At 49.6% G+C, this 19,833-nt stretch overlaps 1 protein-coding gene and 1 long non-coding RNA gene across 44 annotated transcripts in view, besides 2 other annotated features; one reads left to right on the top strand and one right to left on the bottom strand.

Moving 5' to 3' along the window:
- Positions 1–3,141: 3,141 nt before the first annotated feature.
- Positions 3,142–12,571, top strand: LOC107984242 (uncharacterized). Of its 2 annotated transcripts, none has more exons than XR_007062181.1 (4): positions 3,142–3,228; positions 4,043–4,148; positions 10,611–10,796; positions 12,488–12,571. It is a non-coding gene; the product is annotated as an uncharacterized LOC107984242 (long non-coding RNA). The 2 variants fall into 2 exon arrangements; XR_007062180.1 differs by having other exon boundaries at positions 3,143–3,228; positions 4,037–4,148.
- Positions 5,628–6,128: an enhancer, noted in NCBI's record as "H3K4me1 hESC enhancer chr10:71721094-71721594 (GRCh37/hg19 assembly coordinates)". NCBI's record gives its function as "activates a minimal SCP1, AML or CMV promoter by ChIP-STARR-seq in primed H9 embryonic stem cells {active_cell/tissue: H9 hESC(primed)}" and the evidence as "EXISTENCE:reporter gene assay evidence [ECO:0000049][PMID:30033119]".
- Positions 8,322–19,833, bottom strand: part of COL13A1 (collagen type XIII alpha 1 chain) — a 157,239-nt gene continuing 145,727 nt past the window's right edge. For 23 of the 42 annotated variants that reach the window (XM_047424600.1, NM_001368882.1, XM_011539294.4 and 20 more), the window contains 3 exons: positions 14,498–14,584; positions 10,424–10,462; positions 8,322–8,767 (listed from right to left, as the gene is read on the bottom strand). In XM_047424600.1, coding sequence (XP_047280556.1) covers positions 8,765–8,767; positions 10,424–10,462; positions 14,498–14,584 — 129 coding nt within the window. In that variant the 3' untranslated portion in view covers positions 8,322–8,764. Of the gene's footprint in view, positions 8,768–10,423; positions 10,463–13,440; positions 13,519–14,497; positions 14,585–19,833 lie in introns of all 42 variants that reach the window. The other 19 variants (XM_047424601.1, XM_047424605.1, XM_047424606.1 and 16 more) reach the window with 2 other exon arrangements.
- Positions 10,578–10,647: a silencer, noted in NCBI's record as "silent region_2438". NCBI's record gives its function as "represses an Ori minimal core promoter by ATAC-STARR-seq in GM12878 lymphoblastoid cells {active_cell/tissue: GM12878}" and the evidence as "EXISTENCE:reporter gene assay evidence [ECO:0000049][PMID:35858748]".

The following is a 19,833-nucleotide window of genomic DNA, read 5'->3' as shown; positions in this document are numbered from 1 at the left end:
GAGTAGCTGGGACTCCAGGCGCCCGCCACCACACTTGGCTAATTTTTTGTACTTTTAGTAGAGACGGGGTTTCACCATGTTGGCCAGGCTGGTTTCGAACTCCTGACCTGAAGTGATCCTCCCATCTTGGCCTCCCAAAGTGCTGGGGATTACAGGGGTGAGCCACTGCACCCAGCCTGACTTACTTTTAAAAGTATACGAAACCCTCCATTAACCGAACTGAAGTTTGCCACAAGACACAATGAAATAGAACTTTTTCTGCTGATATACTGAGGTAATGACGTTTAAACTTAAGACGTCAGATTGATCACATGGGGAGTCTGCCCAGCGTGTCTCCAAGGGCACAGGGGGGCAGGAGATAGAAGGAGGGAGGTGGGGGCAGGACCAGGATGGAGGAAACATTGCAGGCTGGAGCCCTCTGAAGAGAAAAACCTCATTTAACGAGCAATATGGGGAACTGGAATTTTAAAGCAAAAATAATTTAAGTTGCTGACTTTTCTAGGAGAAAGGGAAAAAAATCTCTTATGAACATTTATGGACTTTAGTTTGAAAAAGCAACTTCCTAGATCTATCCTCATGTCTTTCCCCAAGCTGGCCACCATTTCCACATCTTCATTACTCAGTGTCCACAGTGTTTATCAGTCAGGCCTTCTTCATGCCTCCAAGGAGGTCCTCTTTGAACCTAATTTCACCAGAAATTTTAACGAACCATTCTTAAGTGATTCCATGTAATTGAGGTTTGTCTATGAAAAGCAAGGTTATTTTTTGTTTTTTGTTTTTCTGAACAGCAAACACTAGCAATCGCATTGTCTAGCCTTTGCATGGCTCTTTACTGTGTTCCAAGTGCTTCCACAGAGATAGCCCTCATATCACCTGGGAGGTAGGCAGTGCCTGCCCCAGGTCACACATGAGGGACTGGAGGCTCAGAGCATGGGCGGCACTTGCCTACGGTCACTCTGCTAGCACGCTGTGGCCGGAGCAAGCACCCGATCTCCTTACTCCCATCCCAGCCCAAGTGCTTTCCCACTGGCTGGGGGAGCTGCAGGCACGTTTATTTTGGCAGACTTTGCAATAAATTGCTTTGTCTTTGGAATGAGTGGAGTGCAAGAAAAATGTCTCTTAGCAAGCAGTTTCACTGCATTTGTGATCTTACAGTGAGCCCTGGGACTTGGCTGTGTCTTCTTAGAAGGTGGTCGTGATGGGTTTGTCTTCCTCGACTGTTGTAGGTTTAGAGCGGGGTGGTTTGCTGGCAGGAGATGAAGACCATTTGACTATATACAAATGTACAGGATCCTGTGAGTCATCTGGAATCCTCAAACCCACTCACACGTGTGTCATTTTAAATAGGGATGCCTTTTATTTCTGCCATGCCCTGGGAAGGGCAGGAGGGTTGGGTGACTGGTTAACTTGGCTGTGAAAAATCTCTAAGTACCCACTGAGCCTCACATCACATCTGGATCACCATCGGGGTGCATTAGCTGTGACTTTTGCTGCATCCAGTCATGCACATGTGCCCTTGACCCCAACGGGGCCGCAATGGACCTGCGCAATTTGTTTGCAGCCCTGGACATACTGCTCCTCCCCATGTAATGAGGCTGCTGTTCCTACTTTACAATAAGCACCAAAAGAGAGGAGAGAGATGAGGTTATCAAATGAAGATCAGGAGTGTGCTTTAACCCACAAGCCTTGTGGGCCAGATACTGTGAATGGGAGAAAACACTAAATTTGCTCTAAAGCATTTTCTTTAACCCACCAGGGCCGAGGAAAGATGTTGTTATGAATTTAAAGTCAGAATCCCAGCATTTAAAGTCAAATCACCAGAATGGCCTGGTAACCCTGGCGACCCAGCCTCTCCATCTTAAAATAGTGTCGGGGAAAAATTCCCTCCAAATGTTTGTTTATTCAAGATCTTTCTATCCTTTGAATGTCCCCTGCCCTTCATTTCTGCCTTCCGCTGGCCTGTCTGTCCTGCCTTCGGTGAGAGTTGTCATTTGTGTTCTGATCATATCCCACTCGCCCAGGTGCATGGAGGTGAGAACAGGGGCGTGTTCACTTTGTTCTCCACACAATGTCCACCTGGCCCTGTGGACACCTGAGGCCATTGGTGAATGGCTGCAGCTACAAGGCACCAGGAGGGGTTGAGCTGTTGCCAGAGCTTGGCTTGGAAGGGCTGGAGGATGACGTGGGTATTGGGTCATTGTCACTGTGACCACCTGCTGGTTTGCCAGGTTGACATCTGCTGTCACAGCCTACTGACTACCAGGGCCCTTCTTAATTGCAAAGTGTCCTGGATAGAACAAGAAAATATGGTCATTCTATTCACTGAAGAAGCAAGCAGCAAGGTGGTTTGAGTGTCATGACAAAGGGAGATGTAAGGTGGTTAATTTCCAGCCACTGTCCCTTCAACAATTTTGCTAAGAGGGCTTACTTCAGACCCTCCTGAAACTACATAGACTGCTGCCTCCGTCTGTGTCAGTTTAGTACTGGCTGGGGCACCTCTGGGCACCGGACTAGATGTGTGAGGCTCCTGGTTCTGAGGACCAGCCCAGGCACCCGGCATGGCCACCCAGTATTACTCCTGGGCTTCTCTCCTCCATTATGTTGCGGTTCCGTCCTTTCTAAGACAAACGCTCCTTGCTTTTCCAGCTTGGTACATTCGTCTGCTTATGACACTGGAAAGAGCCCAGGAAGTAACAGGGTTGATGGTGGCAGCACCAAAGGAAATTGAAGGAACTCTGTTGAGAAGAGGTGGGAGAGGTGACAGCTGCCTGGCCTGCCTCGGGAGGAGGCTTTCCCAGTCAGATCAGGATGGTACTGACAGCCCCTTCTGCAGAGAGGTTGCTCACAGAACCACAATTCTTCATGAGCAAGAGGAGTCCGAGAGCCCTCAAAATTGCAGCAACAGCAGAGGGTCCTGGCTGGGGCTGCAGCAGACACCTCAGCAGGCCACGAGAGCTGGAGGTGTGCGGATGTGGGGGCCTTGGCTTTCCTGGCTGAGCTCTAGCCCTTGGAGAGGACAGAGGCCCATCCTTGCACTCCTGAGGTCACAATACACTTTGATCATCCCCTCAAACCAGGTACCCCCTGGAAGGATTCGGCTGGCGACCCTCTGTCCAGGGGCAGCTTCTCCACCTCTTTCCTCCTCCAAGGCAAGGCGCTTTCCCCAGGGCTCTGGGCTTGCTGGCTTCACTTCTTGGCGACTAACCAAGGACTCTGGCCCTTGAGGAGGTATAGAGAAGGGGCATTTGAGAAGGAACCTCTCTGGTGATAGGCACATCCAGGGGTGCCTCCCTGGCCAGGACATCCCCCACCCCCAGCCACTGGCTGCCAGACTCCCAGCCCCTCCGAGTTGGGAGGTGCCCTCTCTACCCTCTTCCTTCCATCGCCATCCCACTTGTCCTCCCCTACCTGAGAAGCGAGCATGGCCCAGGCTTGAGCTCACTGGAAGATTCTACCGAGGAAAGGAGCTTGAGCCCAGGGTGGGGACTGCCTACATGCAGGGCCAGCTCCTCCATCTCTGCTTTGTAACACCCCTCTCAGCTGACTCAGTCATCTGCTCATTCTGTCCACACTGGCCACCGCAGGAGCTTCTGTCCTCAGCACCCCTGCCCTGGCTGGCTGTACCTCTCACTTAGCACTTAGCACACTTGTCCCTGATGGGTGTGCTCCTGGTGGTTCTGGTGAAGCTCCTGGAGGGTGGATGGGTGTGCTCTTGGGTGTGCTCTGGTGAAGCTCCTGGAGGAGCTGGGTCTTACAGTCCTAGGGGCCTCTTCCCTTTCCTTCCCAGCCTGGCAGGAAGCACAGTGTCTGCACACAGCAGGTGCTTAACAAAGCTGGCTGATAACTCAGCAGGTGGTAGATATGTATGATCCCCCGTCGATGGCTGGATTGTAGGGGAGACACTGAGCTAGGTCCCTCCTGAGCCTGGGAGTAAGAAAGTCCCTGCCCTTTAAGAGTTCACTATCAAAAATGGAAGAGCCCCTTTGCACACTCTCACATAAAGTGGAGGAAGAAAAGAACACTGAGTTCCAGGCAGTTGCAGGGAGGAGAGACTCCACCAACTGAGGAGCCCAGAACCGTCTCTCCAGGGCCATGGGATCTGAGCTGGGCCTTGAAAGGAGGCAGATAAGAAGCAATGGCATCTCCAGGTAAGGGCCCGGCTAGGGCAAGCGTGTGGAGGGGCAGCAAAGTGTGTGCGCAGGGTGAGTGGCAGGCCTGGAAAGGAGGTGGGCCTGCTGGGGAGGGCCCTGGGGGTACAGGGGCCGTGGCCCTCTACCTCCCTCTGAGTCGCCTTCCACAGGTGCTTGGCTGTTTCTCAGAGATGAACTTTTCTAGCAGCCAGAGGTCACTTTGCATGTGGATTGCACCCAGTTCTGCCTGAGTGGCTAAGACATGGCTCCCTTCCCTGCACCATCCTCCTGTTTCCTTCACCACAGTGAGGGGCATCCTGCTTCAGCGACCCCTTGGGAGTTCTGCTCCTTTGAGAGGTGAACGGCTGCTCCTGCCCTTGCTTTCCTTCTCTGCTCCACATCTTGATGTGGTGTCCTTTTTTCTGAACACTCACAGGGAGCCTACTCTTTTCTTTTGCAATGATGTGGAGTCTTGGGTGCTTGATGTCTCATGCTGGCTGAAAATGTGTCCAAGTCCAGGGCAAGGGGAGAGACACGCTGGGGGAGTGTGTGGGGTGGTGAATGGGAGAGACACAGTGGGCCTGAGAGGAGGGAGGGAGGTGGGCCTCCCCATGCCAGTGCGGTGTCCCTGAATGTGTGTTGGGGCTTGGGGATTCCCGCGTGTGTCAGGTGGCCAGTGCTTTATTGCTTTCTCTCTGATACATCCTCTGTGTCGACACCAATGTGAGAAACAACCCCTACAGCTGTTCTTGCCCTAAGGCAAGCTGACCCCGCTCACCCTACTCCTGGGTGGCACAGGCCTACTCCAAGTTTTGTTATTTGGGGTTACAAAGCACACACATGCCACACACAGTTTTGCAAAACCAATGCCATGCATAATACTGTCACAGCCAAATAACTCTAGGTGGAGGGGGGGACATGGAGTACTCCCGCCTCCACAATCCTCCCAGGAGGTGACCTGCCTGTGGGGCCAGAGGGCCTCAGGGTGTCGGAGCTGGAAAGTTTTATGGAGGTCACCCATGTCCAGCTTCTTCACTTGACGCTTGGGGAAACTAAGACCTGGAGTAAGGTGCCCAAGCCACACAGTGAGGTAATGGTAGAGAAAGAACTAGAAGCTGAGTCTCTCGACTTGCTGGCCAGTGCCCTCCTCCACTTATGGGTTAACGACAACCCTCCCCAGCTCCATCCTATGCCATTCTGCCAGGCGAAGGCAGGGCCGGGGAAGGGAGGCCAGCACTGGGTGGGGCGGAGATGGGGCGGGGTGGGCATGTGTGGAAGGAGCCTCCTCTTCCCTCAGCAAGGGAAGCAATGTGGCTTCCCTTGGCTCACATGACCACAACCACAACTCCCCAGCCTTGGGGAGAGGCACCATTCGGGCCCAGATGACCCGGTCACACTGTCACCCATGGGGTACTGGCTCATTCTTTGCAGGTATCCAGGTGGACAACGCTAGGCATGTGTCCTGCTGTGCCAGAGCACGCAGCCACAGGCACTGGAATGAGAGAGGAACTGCAGGAGACAAACGGCCTTAAGACCCAGTGCCTTACAATTTACAAAGAACTTTCACCAACATGCTCAGTGGGCAGGGCTGGGTGCACCTCTGGCTCCCTGGGCAGGCAGTTCTCACCAGGAGGTGCCGCAAGTCCCCCAAAACAGACAGCATGTCTTTCTCCTCTGCAAGCCCTCTGTGGCCCCTGTCCATAGGGCTGGCCTTTCCCTGGTCCCTCCTGCAATGTGCCTGCTTCTCCTGTTCCATCACTGGATTGTTTCTTCTCGCCTGGTTGTCCTGGTCTGCTGGGCGTTAGTATGGACTCACAGCTACTGTGCAAACTCTTTGACCACGTGTCTTTTTACTTCTCATCTCCCTGTACTGCATTTGACACACAGCCAAGATTCAAGTGGAGAGGCTTGGGGGCAGGGGCCTGAAGTCAGGAGCCCGGGGTGCAGTCCAGTGATAGGGTGGGGTCCTGGCTGAGTACTATGGCAGCAACAACCGTGTGGGGAGACAATGTGTTTACACACACGGGGCTAAACCTCGGGGGGCTGCAACCCACTGGGCAGGGCAGTGTGGGCTCCGAAACCAGGCCCAGCCTTTTTTTTTTCTGTGACCACTAGGTGGCCTGAAGTGATGTGTGTGACCCTGCCTCAGTTACGGCAAGGACCTTCCCCATCCCCTGGGCTTCCCAGCCACAGCTGTCTCCTCTCTACTTGTTTTCCTTGACTCTGACTTTTAAACTTCTCTTTACACACATTTCTATTTTATTACATAGATTCTTGTGACTTTGAATCCTTTGTGGCAGTAGGTAAAGTGTCATAAGTAAATGAATAACCCCAGGACTGGAACAAAAGAGGTTTCTTTGCCCATTTACCCAGGATATTCAGCTAACACTGACTCTCCCCTTTCTGGGTTCCAGTGAATGTTCTACTCTATCCTGAGATCATCAGTGAGCTGTGATTGCCCTGGCCAGAGCCTGAAGGGGAGGGGGTCAGAACGGGGTCACACCCTGATTGCCTGGGCCCTCGCCTGGGAGGGGAGGAGTGTGGCCTGGAGGTGGGGACACCCGCAGCTAGGGTGACTGTGAATTCTAAGGGGCAGAGGATGTGGGCTGGGCTGCGTTATGACTTTTGGGGGCCCTGGGCAGTTTTGCCTTCCTCCATTAAAAAAATACAAAAAATTATATTTTACAATTGTGCTGGTAGAAAGACAAAAACAATCCTGGCTGGATTCATTGTTATATATTCATTTTTTTTTTCTAAATTTAAAAAGGTGAAAAATTAAGATATTTTTGTGGCCTCTAAAAGTACTCCGTGGCTGCTGGAGAAGTTGTCCCTGGGCTACAGGGCCATGAGAATCCGGCCCAGGGCAAGAAACATCCCTGGGTTCAGATGAACCCTCTTTGTGTCCACAGAGATCAACTCTTGTTCACTACTGCATGGCTTCACTTTTCTTTTTTCTTTCCTTCCTTTTTTTTTTTTTTTTCCTTTTTTTTCTTTTAAGGCAGGGTCTCACTCTGTTGCCCAGGCTGGAGTGCAGCGGTGCGATCATAGCTCACTGCAGCCTGAAACTCCTGGGCTCAAGCAATCTTCCCACCTCAGCCTCCGGAGTAGCTGGGACTACAGGCGAGTGTCACCACACTCAGCTAAATTTTGAAAAATGTTTTTGTAGAGATGAGCGTCTCATTATGTTGCCCAGACTTGCTTCACTTTTCAAATGAGGAACCCAAGACTTAGAAGAGGAAGTTGTCCAAGTTCTAAGCTAAGCTAGTGACATTTAGAGTAAGAATGTTGGTATAGACGTTTTGGGTCTGAGCTGCGTGTGATTTCATTACCATGAGCGCTTGTGAGTGTGACCTCATCCCCACACATGGCAGGGGTCTAATGACTGTGAAGCCCACTAATTTAGAGTTTTGTGTGACAGCATGTGGACAGAGTCTGAAGTTAAATTTCCCTTTGCGTTGTCTAGGAAGAAAGGATGTGTAAAGAAAATGCAAAATGTAAACCAGATGGGGATGTATGTAAAGTACTGGAGTAATTTGTTGTTTTCAAGCTTTTAGAAGCATGAATTTATGTTGTCAAACAGCTAACGATAAACCTGTATGCTACACCACAGGTAAGACTTAACTGGTCATTAAAACCGGTTTCCTGAGACCTTTTCTAAGCAATGCACTAAATATGGAAAGCAATACAACATTATTTCTTAAAAAAATAAAAACAACTTCAGATTGGCCCAGCCCAAGCCCAGATCTAGGCATGTTTCTGAATGCTCTTTGCTGGAGTGGAACAGCAGATGAGGCAAAGCTCCTTCAACTGCTAGTTGTGAGTGAACCCACAAACTCATATCAAGTCAACAGCTGTGATTAGCAATAGCTGGTACTAGGGACTGTAGCTCAAAACAAAACAAAGCAAAACAAACAAGCAAAAACCTACCATAACCCAACAGCAAGAGCAAATGGCTCCTTTGAAACCCTGGGTGCCCTTAGCACAACTGAACCTAAATGCTCACACAGCAAGCACTGTGATAAACTTGGGATCTGTAACAACATACATTGCTCGATAAAGTTCCCTTCCCTCCCTTTGTTGAACCTCACATTTCAAAACCTTACTCCACACTTCTGAGGACCCCTACTTCTGGGAATTCCTGCTTTCACAGGAGAGAATGTATTTAATATAATGATTAATCAGGATCATGAATTGCCATGTTTCATTTCCTTTAATAATGAAAATCCATAAGGGTTTAAAATACTCTTAGACACACCTAGCTTAGCAAATATCATGGACCTCTACATTTATGTGAATTCACACATGAGCTAGCCAGCACCTCAGTTCTGGCTGGCCCCCTTTGGCACCAGGACACAATAATTTATTAAGCTTCGATACTTAATAAATGTGCACAAATATCATGCAGACATTACGACCAAACAAAAAATGTATTAGAGACATAGGCTTATACAAAACATCTTGTAAACAAAAGGGAAGAGGTTGATATTTTCTGTACAAAATATGCAGGTTTTTCTTTCTTTTTTAATAATCTGTAAGATGCATCATACTTCTGGCATTTTCAAAAAGTGAAAACTGTATAAAAATAAATATTCTATGTACAAACACACACACAGGCCAATCCAAGGTTAGAGGCATCACTGCAAAACAAAAACAAAACAATGTTCTGTTAGTTTCAGTGGGTCTGCAGAGGTTTATTTCCTTTGTAGGAAGGGAGGTAAATCTTGTCCTGGGTTGGATGGGAGTTCTGGACAGGAGAACTGTGGGAACCCTGAGCCCCTAGGTGAAAGAAACTGGTGGCGACCTTAGCTCCCTGAAGGGAGGAAACCAAGTTCACCTCTCTGTGAATCCCCTTTGTGGTCACTAGAGGGCACTCTCTTTCTCTGCTGCCTTTGGAGGCCTGATTGTTGTAACCACTGCATTGTCCCAGATTGGACTTAAGGTGTGAATGAGTAGTCTTGAAGCTCTCTGGTTGCTTCTCCAAGACATTGCAGCTCTTGGTAGTGGCTGTTCTTCCCCTGCTAAGCACAACCATTTCTGTCTCCTAACCATTGGCAGCAACTTTAAAGAGGAAATTTTTTTAGGGGTCAAGGGTTCAGAGGTCTTATGACACCTCTGACCTGCTTTTGTGGCGCTTTAACTAGGTCTAAGTGGAGCTTGGCAGGAGGACGAGGCCAGCCTCCAGGGATGGATTCTGGGGAGGCATCTCTCTTGAGTGTTGAGCTTTTCCTTCTTGGGTTAGGGGGTGCTTTAGGTATCCAGGCAGGTAGGTGGTCAGCGTTGGCCTGGGGTCTTGGTGGTTTCACCACTTTTACCCAACCCAGTGCACTAGTGAGATTCTGGCATCTTAGTACAGGGGAGCTTGTTCATCTCATTGTAAGTGTGACTCTGCTGCCACTGGAACAGGACTGGATTCGTTGAGCACAGATTCTTGAACATGTTGGAGTCTCCGGTCCCTTTATGAGGATGAACCTTGAGACAATGGTGGTGGGGGGTTGGTGAGAAGACTTGGAGTGACAGGCAAGGTGGAGGGAGACGGTATGGGGCAGCATAGTGGCTGCCACCATTGCTGGGGACCAAGGCGGGTCTTCTGGATTAGTTAGCAAGCAGATGGCCTCTGTCTGCCTGGGCAGCCCTGTGCTCTGGGGAGCCATGGTTGAATGGGGCGATCACATGCAAGGGCACAGTCCTATGATGTCAGACTGCTCTAACAATGGCAAATGCCAAGGCCAGTGTGAATCAATGAAAACTCATTGTTGGTAGGAACTCTGGGAGCCCAGGAGAGATTTGGCTGCAGGTCACATGTGTGGTGGCATGAAGCTCTGCCAGCTTAAATGCAAGGGGAGTGGTAGAGTGGTGAGGAGCACAGCCCCTAGGGGAGGCACAGTAGCATGTGAGTTCAGAGTGAAAGCAACTGAGATGTCCTACGTCTAAGACATGTCATCACGTGGCATAAACGACCTTAGAGGAACTCTATGAGTGTGATCTGGAACTCCTTGGGGAAGTTCCTTGGGGGAAAGACACTATGTACATTGAACACACAAAGCATAAAGATGTCACCTGTGTGGCTGCATGGACATTCCGCCTAGGGTTTACTGATGTTCTAAGAAGCATTTTAAAATGTTTGTTAACAGCATGCAGTGTATGGGATGTTTAATGGGCACCCTGCCTTTGAGACAGTGACTATTTGACCTATGTCTTGCTGCCTCATCTGTAGCAAGGCAGAATGGAAATTGTGGAAGCTTTATGGCACTGCTGAGAACGGAGCCCCAGTGCACACCAATGGGAAGCCTTACCTTGTTCCAGCAGCCTTGGACTGGTAAGCCATCTTCGCCCTGCAAGGAGAAAGGAAGGCAGAGGGCTCAGACTTCCTGCAATGGTCCACCAAGTGGGCAGGACAGGGGTAACAAGGGCCACACGCATTTTGGCAGCTGATCAGGATGTGGCCCACCCACGCTTGTCTATTTCTTTTCTCTACTACAGGTCAGAACCTCAGAAGGAGGTGGAAACAAATCCGGCTATTTTACCATTGGTTAAAGGTCACATGCAGCTATAGTGCAACGTCAATAGGGGCTGTCCTAGCCCGTGGGACCAGCAAGCAGAGATGTCCTTCCGTGCCACGAAGAAACAGTCTCTGCTGTGGCCCTATGGAGTGCCGGCTGCTCACGGGTAAGCCACTCAGCACAAGGCGGCCTCAGTTTCCTCCTCCATAAAACCTTGGCAAGGACAGTTGCTTGATGTGACCGCTAAGGGCCTTCCCAGCCTTCTCATTCTCTTATTTGTCTCTCTTCCTAAGCACAGGGAGGAGGACATGTAGACAGTCCTTCTTTGATGATTAATCCTGGGGTGGGGTGAGGGGCATGAAGGGACAGGCAACCTCATGAGTATTGCAGGATGGCCCTGACATGCCTTTGGCAAGAAGACAAGGGTTCCTGGCGAAGCCTTAGACCTTGCTGGGAATTTGGGGGTGAAGTGCAGTAAAAACATGGGAATCAACTGCACACCGTCGGTCTCCTTTGTTGGTAGCAACCATGCAGCTCCTTTAGCCTCAAGATGTTCGTGTTCTGCCCTTGGTGATAGAAACTTTCCTGAGTTTTCTTGGGCCCTCATATCCTCTCCTTGCTGGCATACCCTATGGGGAATCTAGAAATCTAGAGACCCAGTGGGGAAGGCGAGGCTGGGCCAAGGGCAAAGGTCTGGTTCTCAGCCCAAGTCTGCTAGACTGGCAGGGCAGACAAGGAGATGGACATGGGGCTTCAGGAGACCCGGAGCAAGTGCTCAGTCCTGAGGGAGCTTGTGGAATGAGAGTCCTCTGCTGCCCTGGTCTGACGTCATCCACCCACGCCAGGGGCTGAAACCTCTCATCACCTGGCATTCAGCAGAAATTGGTCCCAATATGGAGGGCTTAGGAAGTCTGGTTATCTTGTAGTAAAAGTCATGAGCAATAGCTACCCCTGCCCCTCAAGCCCATAATAACACAGAGGAGGAGGCAGAGTGAGAAACAAGGGGAAGACACTTCCCCAGTAAAATTAATAGAAAATTGACACATTGATATGGGATGTTATGGAAGAAAATGCCATTTTACATGGAGAGTCAAATCAGGGTGACCTTCATTTTCCCCTCTGGGTTGGGGAGGGGATTGCAGGGGGAGGAGGTGCATTCCACAGTTTCAGGGTGACCCTGTGCCCCTTCCCCAGCCTGCCACGGTGCGGTATGACACACGTCACATGGATGCCGGGAGGGAGAGGAGCCTCTGTGGGCCAGAGCGGCATTCCCATTGGTGTGTGGATGGTGGCAGGGGGATATGGAGGGCAGGGCAGGCAGAGAATGAAAAGTAATGTATGGTGAGGAACAGAGAGGCCAAGGCAGCTGCTGGCAGAACTAAAGGTGCCCAGATTGTGGGAGGGGATTGTGGCTGAGGGAAGACCTGGCCAGTGCTCAAGGGAGCCCCTGCGGGCCAGAGCGGCATTCCCATTGGTGCGTGGATGGTGGAAGTCCTGGTTGAGAAAGGTGGCTGTGCAGTCTGCAAGCGCAGGGTTTGGCAGGACCAGCAGGGACAGGAAGCATGCTACCCGCCTGCTTGCTCTGCACTCTCCTTTTGTTGCCTATGCTCCTCCTAAAAAGTCCCTACTGCCCTTCAAGGGGCTCTACGACCACCTTTCAGGGTCACACAGCATAATTTCTTGTATCTTTTTCTCTTTTGTTCAAAGAGAATTCCTGTGTGACCCCAGGGCGGGGATGTGAGACCCCAAATTCTCTTATTACTGGTATGATAAAATAGCTCTTGAACTCCAAACCTATTGGGGAAATTTGGGGAGAGCTGTAACCCCTTGAGCCTTGGAGTGAAGTGTTCCCTTCAGCTTCTTTTGCAGTAAGAGGATCAGCGTGGAGGCCTAGACTGTCCATGCCTAGAGAGGGACTGGGCAGGCGGGAATAAACTGCTACCACTTCGCCTGGGACGTGCTTGGAAGAGAGGTCCTTAGCTGTCTCCCTGCCTCCTCCTTAACTACATTCTTGACCTTTCCGTCTCTCCCAGACTCTTCAGTAAGAAGCCATCTGATCATGAAAGAAAGGGACGAGGAAGGGTCTGGTAATGTCTTTGGAGATTTAAGCAAGAAGGACAAACCCTTTAGGATCCGAAAACCTAATCCTGGACCATCCCCTAGTTCTGATGGTGTCACCTGGGCAGCGACCCACGATCCAACCTGGAAGAATAGGCAGGTGGCCCCTCCTCCAGCTCACTTCTAGAGCTTCTCAGTCTACTCTGTAATCATGCCCTTCTGTCCCCCAAATCATGTGATGGAGGAGCAGGGGATACAGGGCTGATCAGGCATCTCATTCACATGTTTCGCTAGGTGCTCAGCCAGTGATTCTGAACTAACTTCACTGCCTGAAGGAAAAGAAGTGAGTCATGGTTCTGAAAACCAGTCCAGAGAATCCACTTTCCTAGCTGGTATCTGGTGGCAGCTTTGTCTAGAATCAGCTTGGAGATGAGTATCAGAGGCAGCCAAAACCAACTTCAGGGTGGGAGAGCTGGCTGGCATCAAGTGGCTGTGCTTTAGAGGTAGCTGCAGCAGGAAGCCAGGAAACATCCCAGTAAACTTTGCATGCAAGAGGGTGGCATGACTGGGAGCCCCCAGAGTACTAGCCTAGGCGGGGTGACCCTTGGCATTTACAGAATGAAGAAGTGGGAAGTGGAGCCTGGGGGGGATGGAGGAGGAGTGTGGAGGGTGGCTGGGGAGAAACCCAGTATGAATCACACACATGGGGAAGCCCAAATCGGCCATGCAGGCAAGCAAGGGCAATGCCATACCAATGGGCATGGGGCATCCAGTCCGTCCAGCCCTGGTAACCCCGGCTCCCCTTTCTCTCCTTTAAAACCTCGGTGTCCCTGTTCACAAAACCAACCACGATGATTATTCAGGTCAAGGCTGGCCAGCTCCAACCATGGAATAGAGAGGCCCAGTCCTACCCTGGCCAGGATGCAGGACCCTTGAGGCATCTACAAACAGGGGCTAAATCCCAGGTGATCCCCCATCTCCCAAATCCAGCTTTTGTGCTCTCTTTGTGCTCTGGAGAGTTCAGCTTTGCACACATACAACCTGCCCCCTCTCCGTTGATCCTCCTCTCTCTACAGACTCACTTAGTGTAAACACAGACAAACTTCAACTTTAGTGCATCATAATTTTTAGAACCTTCAAATGGATTCAAAGGCACTTGAGAAACCCAGCAGAAGTGCCTCATCATTAATTGCTGGCTCTTTTGAGAAGGCTTCCCATGGGGTGTCTGTCTGACTACCAGTTCTGGTCTGCAGCTTTAAAGGTTTCAGCTGGATGGCTGGTGAGTGTTGGGAGGCTGTGCATTAGAAGCCCCTCATCTGGCCTTGTTCTGCCCAGTTTTGAGCATCAGTGGCCCTGAGGAGACGCTAACTCTGGTGTCCTGCATCCTGATCAAGTGAGGATTCAGACAGCTTGAACTACTGGCCCACAGAGGTGGCCATGAAACGAAGAAGGCAAATCCGTGGCTCACAAATGCTACACTGGCTTCCAAAGCCATCCTGGAGCTAAGAGCTGAGGCCTTCCCTGAAAATCCCTTTCCTAGTGGTTTCCTCACTTCCACACATCGATTGCTCTGTATCTTCAAAGGAAAAGGATTCAAAGGCAAGGGATTTAGCCAGAATTACTTGCAGCTGTGGTTACAAAGCAAATCCAACAGCGGGCAGAATTTCACCAGTCAAATGAACAGAGAGATTTTGGTAGCATCCGTGTAGACATTTGGTTCTCATCTTAGTTTATTTGCCTTCTTTGTTTCCAACTTACAAACCTCAAGAACAAAAACCAGAACAATGCAAGTGATAAACAAAAACATACCAATGGGCAGGGGGCATCTAATCCAGGCGCTCCTTGGTCTCCCTTATCCCCTTTAGGCCCTCTAGAGCCTTTCTTCCCCCTCTCCCCCTGTAAATAATGGTTTAGTCCGAGAAAAAAACATCAAAACTTTAAGATCATTCATGTGTTAAGGTTGAAGACAGAAAAAGAAAAATAAAATTAAAAAGGGAAAAAGAGATGCTTTAAATTAGGATATTCTCCCCAGTAGGATTTGGAGTCAATACCCACCTCCTCCCCACCCCCCAGGAACCTGAGAATTTGGCTAAGGTGGGTGGGAGGGGGAGGGGAGGACAGGCAGAGGGCTCAGAGCTGCAGGTGCAGGGAACCACAGACTGAAGATTTTGGTGGCCGGTTTTGCTAATACTAAGCCCAGCGTGGGTCTGTGCTGAACACAGTGGCTAGGGACCAACTTCCTTCTCTTTGAGTCTGTTTTTGAAAGGCTTTGGGGTGAAAACTTTTTTTTTCCCCAATTAATGTTTATCCTTTTGACATTCTATTAGGAGGCAAGGTGATTTTGCTTGGAGCCCTGGGATGTGTGTGAACATAGCATGTATGAGTGTATGCATATATGTGCTTGTGCACATGTGTGTATATGTATGTATGAGTATACAGGTATGTGCTTGTGTATATGTGTGTGTGTGCCCACGTTTGAGTGTGTGTGGGTATGTGCTTGGGCACGTGAACACATGTGTGTGCCTTTATTATGCATGTGTGTCCATGTGCACATATGTATGTGTGTGTCCAGAGCTCACGGATGGCCCCTTGTGCTCAGCTGGCTTCTCCTGTTCTATCTGTGTCTCTGGTTCATCCTGGTCTGAAGTCAGACCGTTATTTGTATATGAATATGTTGGTTTAAGGAATTCATTTGTTTCTGAAAAGCTACAGTAAACATCATTTTTCTAAATTGAATCCTATATTGTATGTGTCAGAGTCTATTTAAAGAAGGGCTGTGGGGAATTCTTTTTAAAAGTGAAGCATCACTTCTGTAATGAATTTGCATTTGCATTTTTATATGTGTTTCCTAAAAAGGGGGCTCAGTATGCCCCTAGGGAGTCTTCCTGGGAGCTCCCCTCCTCTATGGAAGGGGGATTATCTAACGCTTGGGGACTTCAACTGTGTCACTCCAGGGTGACACTGAATGCTGGGCAGCGTATTAGAACAAAGGCTTGCAGTCAGAGTTGGTTCTGACAGTTAGCTGCGTGACTTTGTGAAGTTACTTCTTTGAGCCTTAGTTTCTTTACCTGTAAAATGAGTACAATAATACCTGCCTCAAAAATTTGTTGTGAGGCTGGGCATGGTGGCTCATGTCTGTAATCCCAGCATTTTGGGAGGCCAAGGCAGGAGGGTCACTTGAGGCCAGGAGTTCGAGGCCAGCCTGGACAATAAAGCAAGACCTCATTTTTGCAAAGAATAAAAAAATTAGTCGGGTGTGGTGGCATGTCCCTGTAGTCCTAGCTACTCAGGAGTTTGAGGCAGAAAGATCACTTGAGCCAAGGACAAGAGTTTGAGGCAGCAGTCAACCATGATTGCACCACTACACTTCAGCCTGGGCAACAAAGCAAGACCCTGTCTGAAAAAAAAATGTTGTGAGTTCTTTGTGCACATTAAATGCTTAATAATGGAATATAGTATGTGCACAGTAAACGATAGCTGCTTCATAATGATAATAATGGTCATTATTTCTTTTTAGCCAGTATAGGAGCCAAAGGTTGGGGTCAGAGGTTGTCATGTGCACTGTTCCTGCAGTGGAAGGCTGCAGGGTAGATGTTCATTAGAGGAAGGCAGAGGATAAGAATATTTTTGGCTGGGCACAGTGGCTCATGTCTGTAATCCCAGCACTTTGGGAGGCGGAGGCGGGCGGATCACTGGAGGTCAGGAGTTCGAGACCAGCCTGGCCAACATGGCAAAACCCCATCTCTACTAAAAATACAAAAATTAGCCTGGTGTGGTGGCACTAGCCTGTAATCCTAGCTACTCGGGAGGCTGAGGCAGGAGAATCGCTTGAACCCAGGAGGCAGAGGTTGCAGTGAGCTGAGATTGTGCCACTGCACTCCAGCCTGGGTGACAGAGTGAGACTCTCACAAACAAACAAACAAACAAACAAAATAATATTTTTGATGTTCTTCCAGATCTTCGGAAATTACTCAAATTTCTCTATTTCAGAGGTGGTCTGCAACTGCCAGTGCATTATTCTAAATGAATTTTCTAAAAATGCAAATCCTTACTTAGAAAACGACATGCGTTTAAATATGTATGCACATATTAGGTATATTCCCATCGGCCTGAAGTTTTGTCTGCCAACAAGAACATCATGGCACAAATCATCCCCAAATGGTAGACCAGCAAAACCACTAGCTATTTGGGTGGGGAAGCCCCCTGGTAAACTCTCTCAGGAGTGTGGCCCCTCATTCTCTGGGTCATGAGCAGTTTCCTAATGAAGAAGCCGGGCAAATCTGCCAGAGTGGGGGATCCCAGTCCAGGATACCCCGGGGGTAACAGAGGGTTGGCGTGTTCCAGACTTTCACAACAGGTAACGGACACTATGGGGAGTTGTGTTCTAAGAACCTGTGCAATTGCCCCAAATCCGGTGTCCTTTGAGGCTATTAGAGTAGTAACGTTGCCTGCGTTCTCCCTGCCTCCCACCCCCAGACAGTGACACAAAAGAGATCCATTGCACAGAGGGAACCCTAGCTGGTAAGGGAGAAAGGGGCAAATAAAGTCAAGGGGCAAAGGCTTCTTAAAAACATAAGTAAATGTCTAACAGTGGACTTTGGAGGAGATAAACTGACAGCTGGTGAGGGGGAGGGGAAAGGATGAAGGACGTGGGACTATTATAACGGAATGAACATATCTGGGGGGAGAAGCAGTAAAGGAAGAGGCCAAAAGAGATAGTGGAGGAGGAAGAAGTGAGGAGACAAGACGGACTTAGGAAGTGAGACGTACACACACACGCACACACAAACACATGCACACACACACACACACGCACACACAAACACACGCACACACACACACACACAAACATGCGTGCACCCCCCACCCCCCCAAAGTTGGGCATCTCAGAGAGCAGAAGCAGCCTCACTGCATGCACACAGACCTTTTCAGCTGGCTGGTTTGCAGGCAGCTCCACAGTAACATCCAATTTTCCTGAATGATTATATTGCCAGATTCATGCCACCCTTTATCTTTTGACTGATTTCTTACCCTAAAGGTGGCTCCCGGGCCAAATTCACAGAGCTACTTAGGGGAAAGGGAAGCACCCTTAGTGACAAGGTCAGGATATTCTTTCCACTGGCGTGTGTGTCCCTTAGAAAGCTCCTGGTCTGGGGCTCCGGGCCTTTGCCCACCATGACAAGGACTTTCCTTCCATGAACAGGAAAGAGGCTCTGAGACCATCCTTTGATGGGACATGGAGAAGCATACCTGTAAGGTTGTATCTTGGTTCACTGTAAGATAAAACAAATCTCTGGGCCAGGTGCGGTGGCTCATGTCTGTAATTCCAGCACTTTGGGAGCCGAGGCAGGAGGATCACTTGAGGTCAGGAGTTTGAAACCAGCCTGGCCAATATGGTGAAACCCTGTCTCTACTAAAATACAAAAAATTAGCCGGGCGTGGTGGCGCATGCCTGTAGTTCCAACTACTCAGGAGGCTGAGGCAGGGAAATCACTTGAACCCGGGAGGCGGAGTTTGCAATGAGCTGAGATCGCGCCATTGCACTCCAGCCTGGCGACAGAGCAAGACTCTGTCTCGAAGAAACAAAGAAAGGTCAGAATGGGAGGCAAGATTGAGGGGAGACTCTTCCAGGACATTTGGGCATCCTGAGAGTCAAATCCCCGGCATGAAGAGGACAAGCTGCCCTTGAGTTGGAAACCTGCTCTTTGGGAATAAGTCAATTGGCTCTTTATGGTGTGCTCAAAAGAAAGGTGCGTGCCACCTCATTGTTTTCTGAACTTGACTTTTACTAAGTGACACATTCCTAATTTGTAAAGGGGATGGAGGAAAGTGTGTCAAACATCGGGAAGGGGAAGGGGAATAGAAATACTTTCCCACTGATTCCTGGGGCCTCCGTGGATGACTCAATAACCTCAGTTGCTGCAGCATCAGAGCCGCCAGCCCCCACCCTCCCTCTGTCTGTGACAAGGGTACTTGTCCTGCCTCCACCTCTAGAGCAACATGGTCACCGTCCCTTGAAGGACCGATTTTGCAGCCTTCAAACGGCTCAGTGTCTCCAGCCAACTGAAAAAGTCTGAAGAAGGAGGTTTAGAAAATACTAATTGAATATAATAAAGAAAACTAGAACATGTCAGAAAGACATTTGAAAGGAAGTTAGTATGCCAATGAAGAGGTGGAATGATCAAAGATTTTAGAGGCCTAAATCCTTTGATGCCACACTGAGGAAAGTCCTTCCCAGCGTGCTTAGAGCATCTGGAAGCAGGTCTGTTTATTCCGGCAGTTTCCAGACCTGGTCTTGCCATGGGCAGGGGTGGCGCTGCTGCTCCCTCTTGTTTATAGAAGATGCGGGACAAACTGAGTTGCTTTTGACCAGCTGCCAGTGAAGAGCACTTAGGAAAATGGGAGTGCTCAGTAAATAGATCTTGAGTTGAAGAGATGGAATTCACTGTTGCCAGATAGGAGCATAGGCATTCTGGCACTTTCTGTGCATGAACATGGTATCAGTGTGCAAAGATCAGCCACAAGACCTGGGTTCTGGAGACCGTGTGCTCTTCCTCTAACTCTCCATGGGATCCCAGAACACATAATCATTGTCTGGGCCTTGTTTCTCCATCTGTTCCTTCTCCTCTAAGCGCCTTGGATTTTAGGACCCGCTAGGAGACACACTTGGTTTCTAGGGGGTGTGCCCCCCACTCCAGGAAGCCCCATGATGCAGCAGCAGATGAGACCCTCCAGAGGGGAACCCAAAGGCCATCTCTTGGTCAGATGTAGTTAAATTCTCCCTGCTGGGCCCAAATGCTGAAGGCTGTGGTCGGTGCCACCCCCTGTTATGTGGCTGTGGGTGCCATGGGCATTTGGTAAGTGTGTCCTGGTGAAGATGGCAGAAACCAAAGGGACAGCAAGGGTCTGAGAAGGCGCAGTCCTTTCAGAGCCCTGCCGACTCTTTCCAAGAGAAATAGTGGCTGTAATATTTTTTAAAAGGGTTGGCTGCTTCCAACAACTGTCTGCTTGTTCTTGGAGCTGGAATTTATTTTCTCTCTCACCAGTGGCCTGGAATGCCTGGCAAAACCAAGTTTCAGAGGGCAAGGACAAGGTAGCAATGGATCTAAAATGATCACGTAGGGGCCCACAATCAGGGCAACCTA

This window comes from Homo sapiens, chromosome 10 (assembly GCF_000001405.40).
Source record: "Homo sapiens chromosome 10, GRCh38.p14 Primary Assembly".
Taxonomy (NCBI): Eukaryota; Metazoa; Chordata; class Mammalia; order Primates; family Hominidae; genus Homo; species Homo sapiens.
The sequence above is the reverse complement of the archived record's forward strand: the minus strand, read 5'-3'. Positions and strand labels throughout refer to the sequence as shown.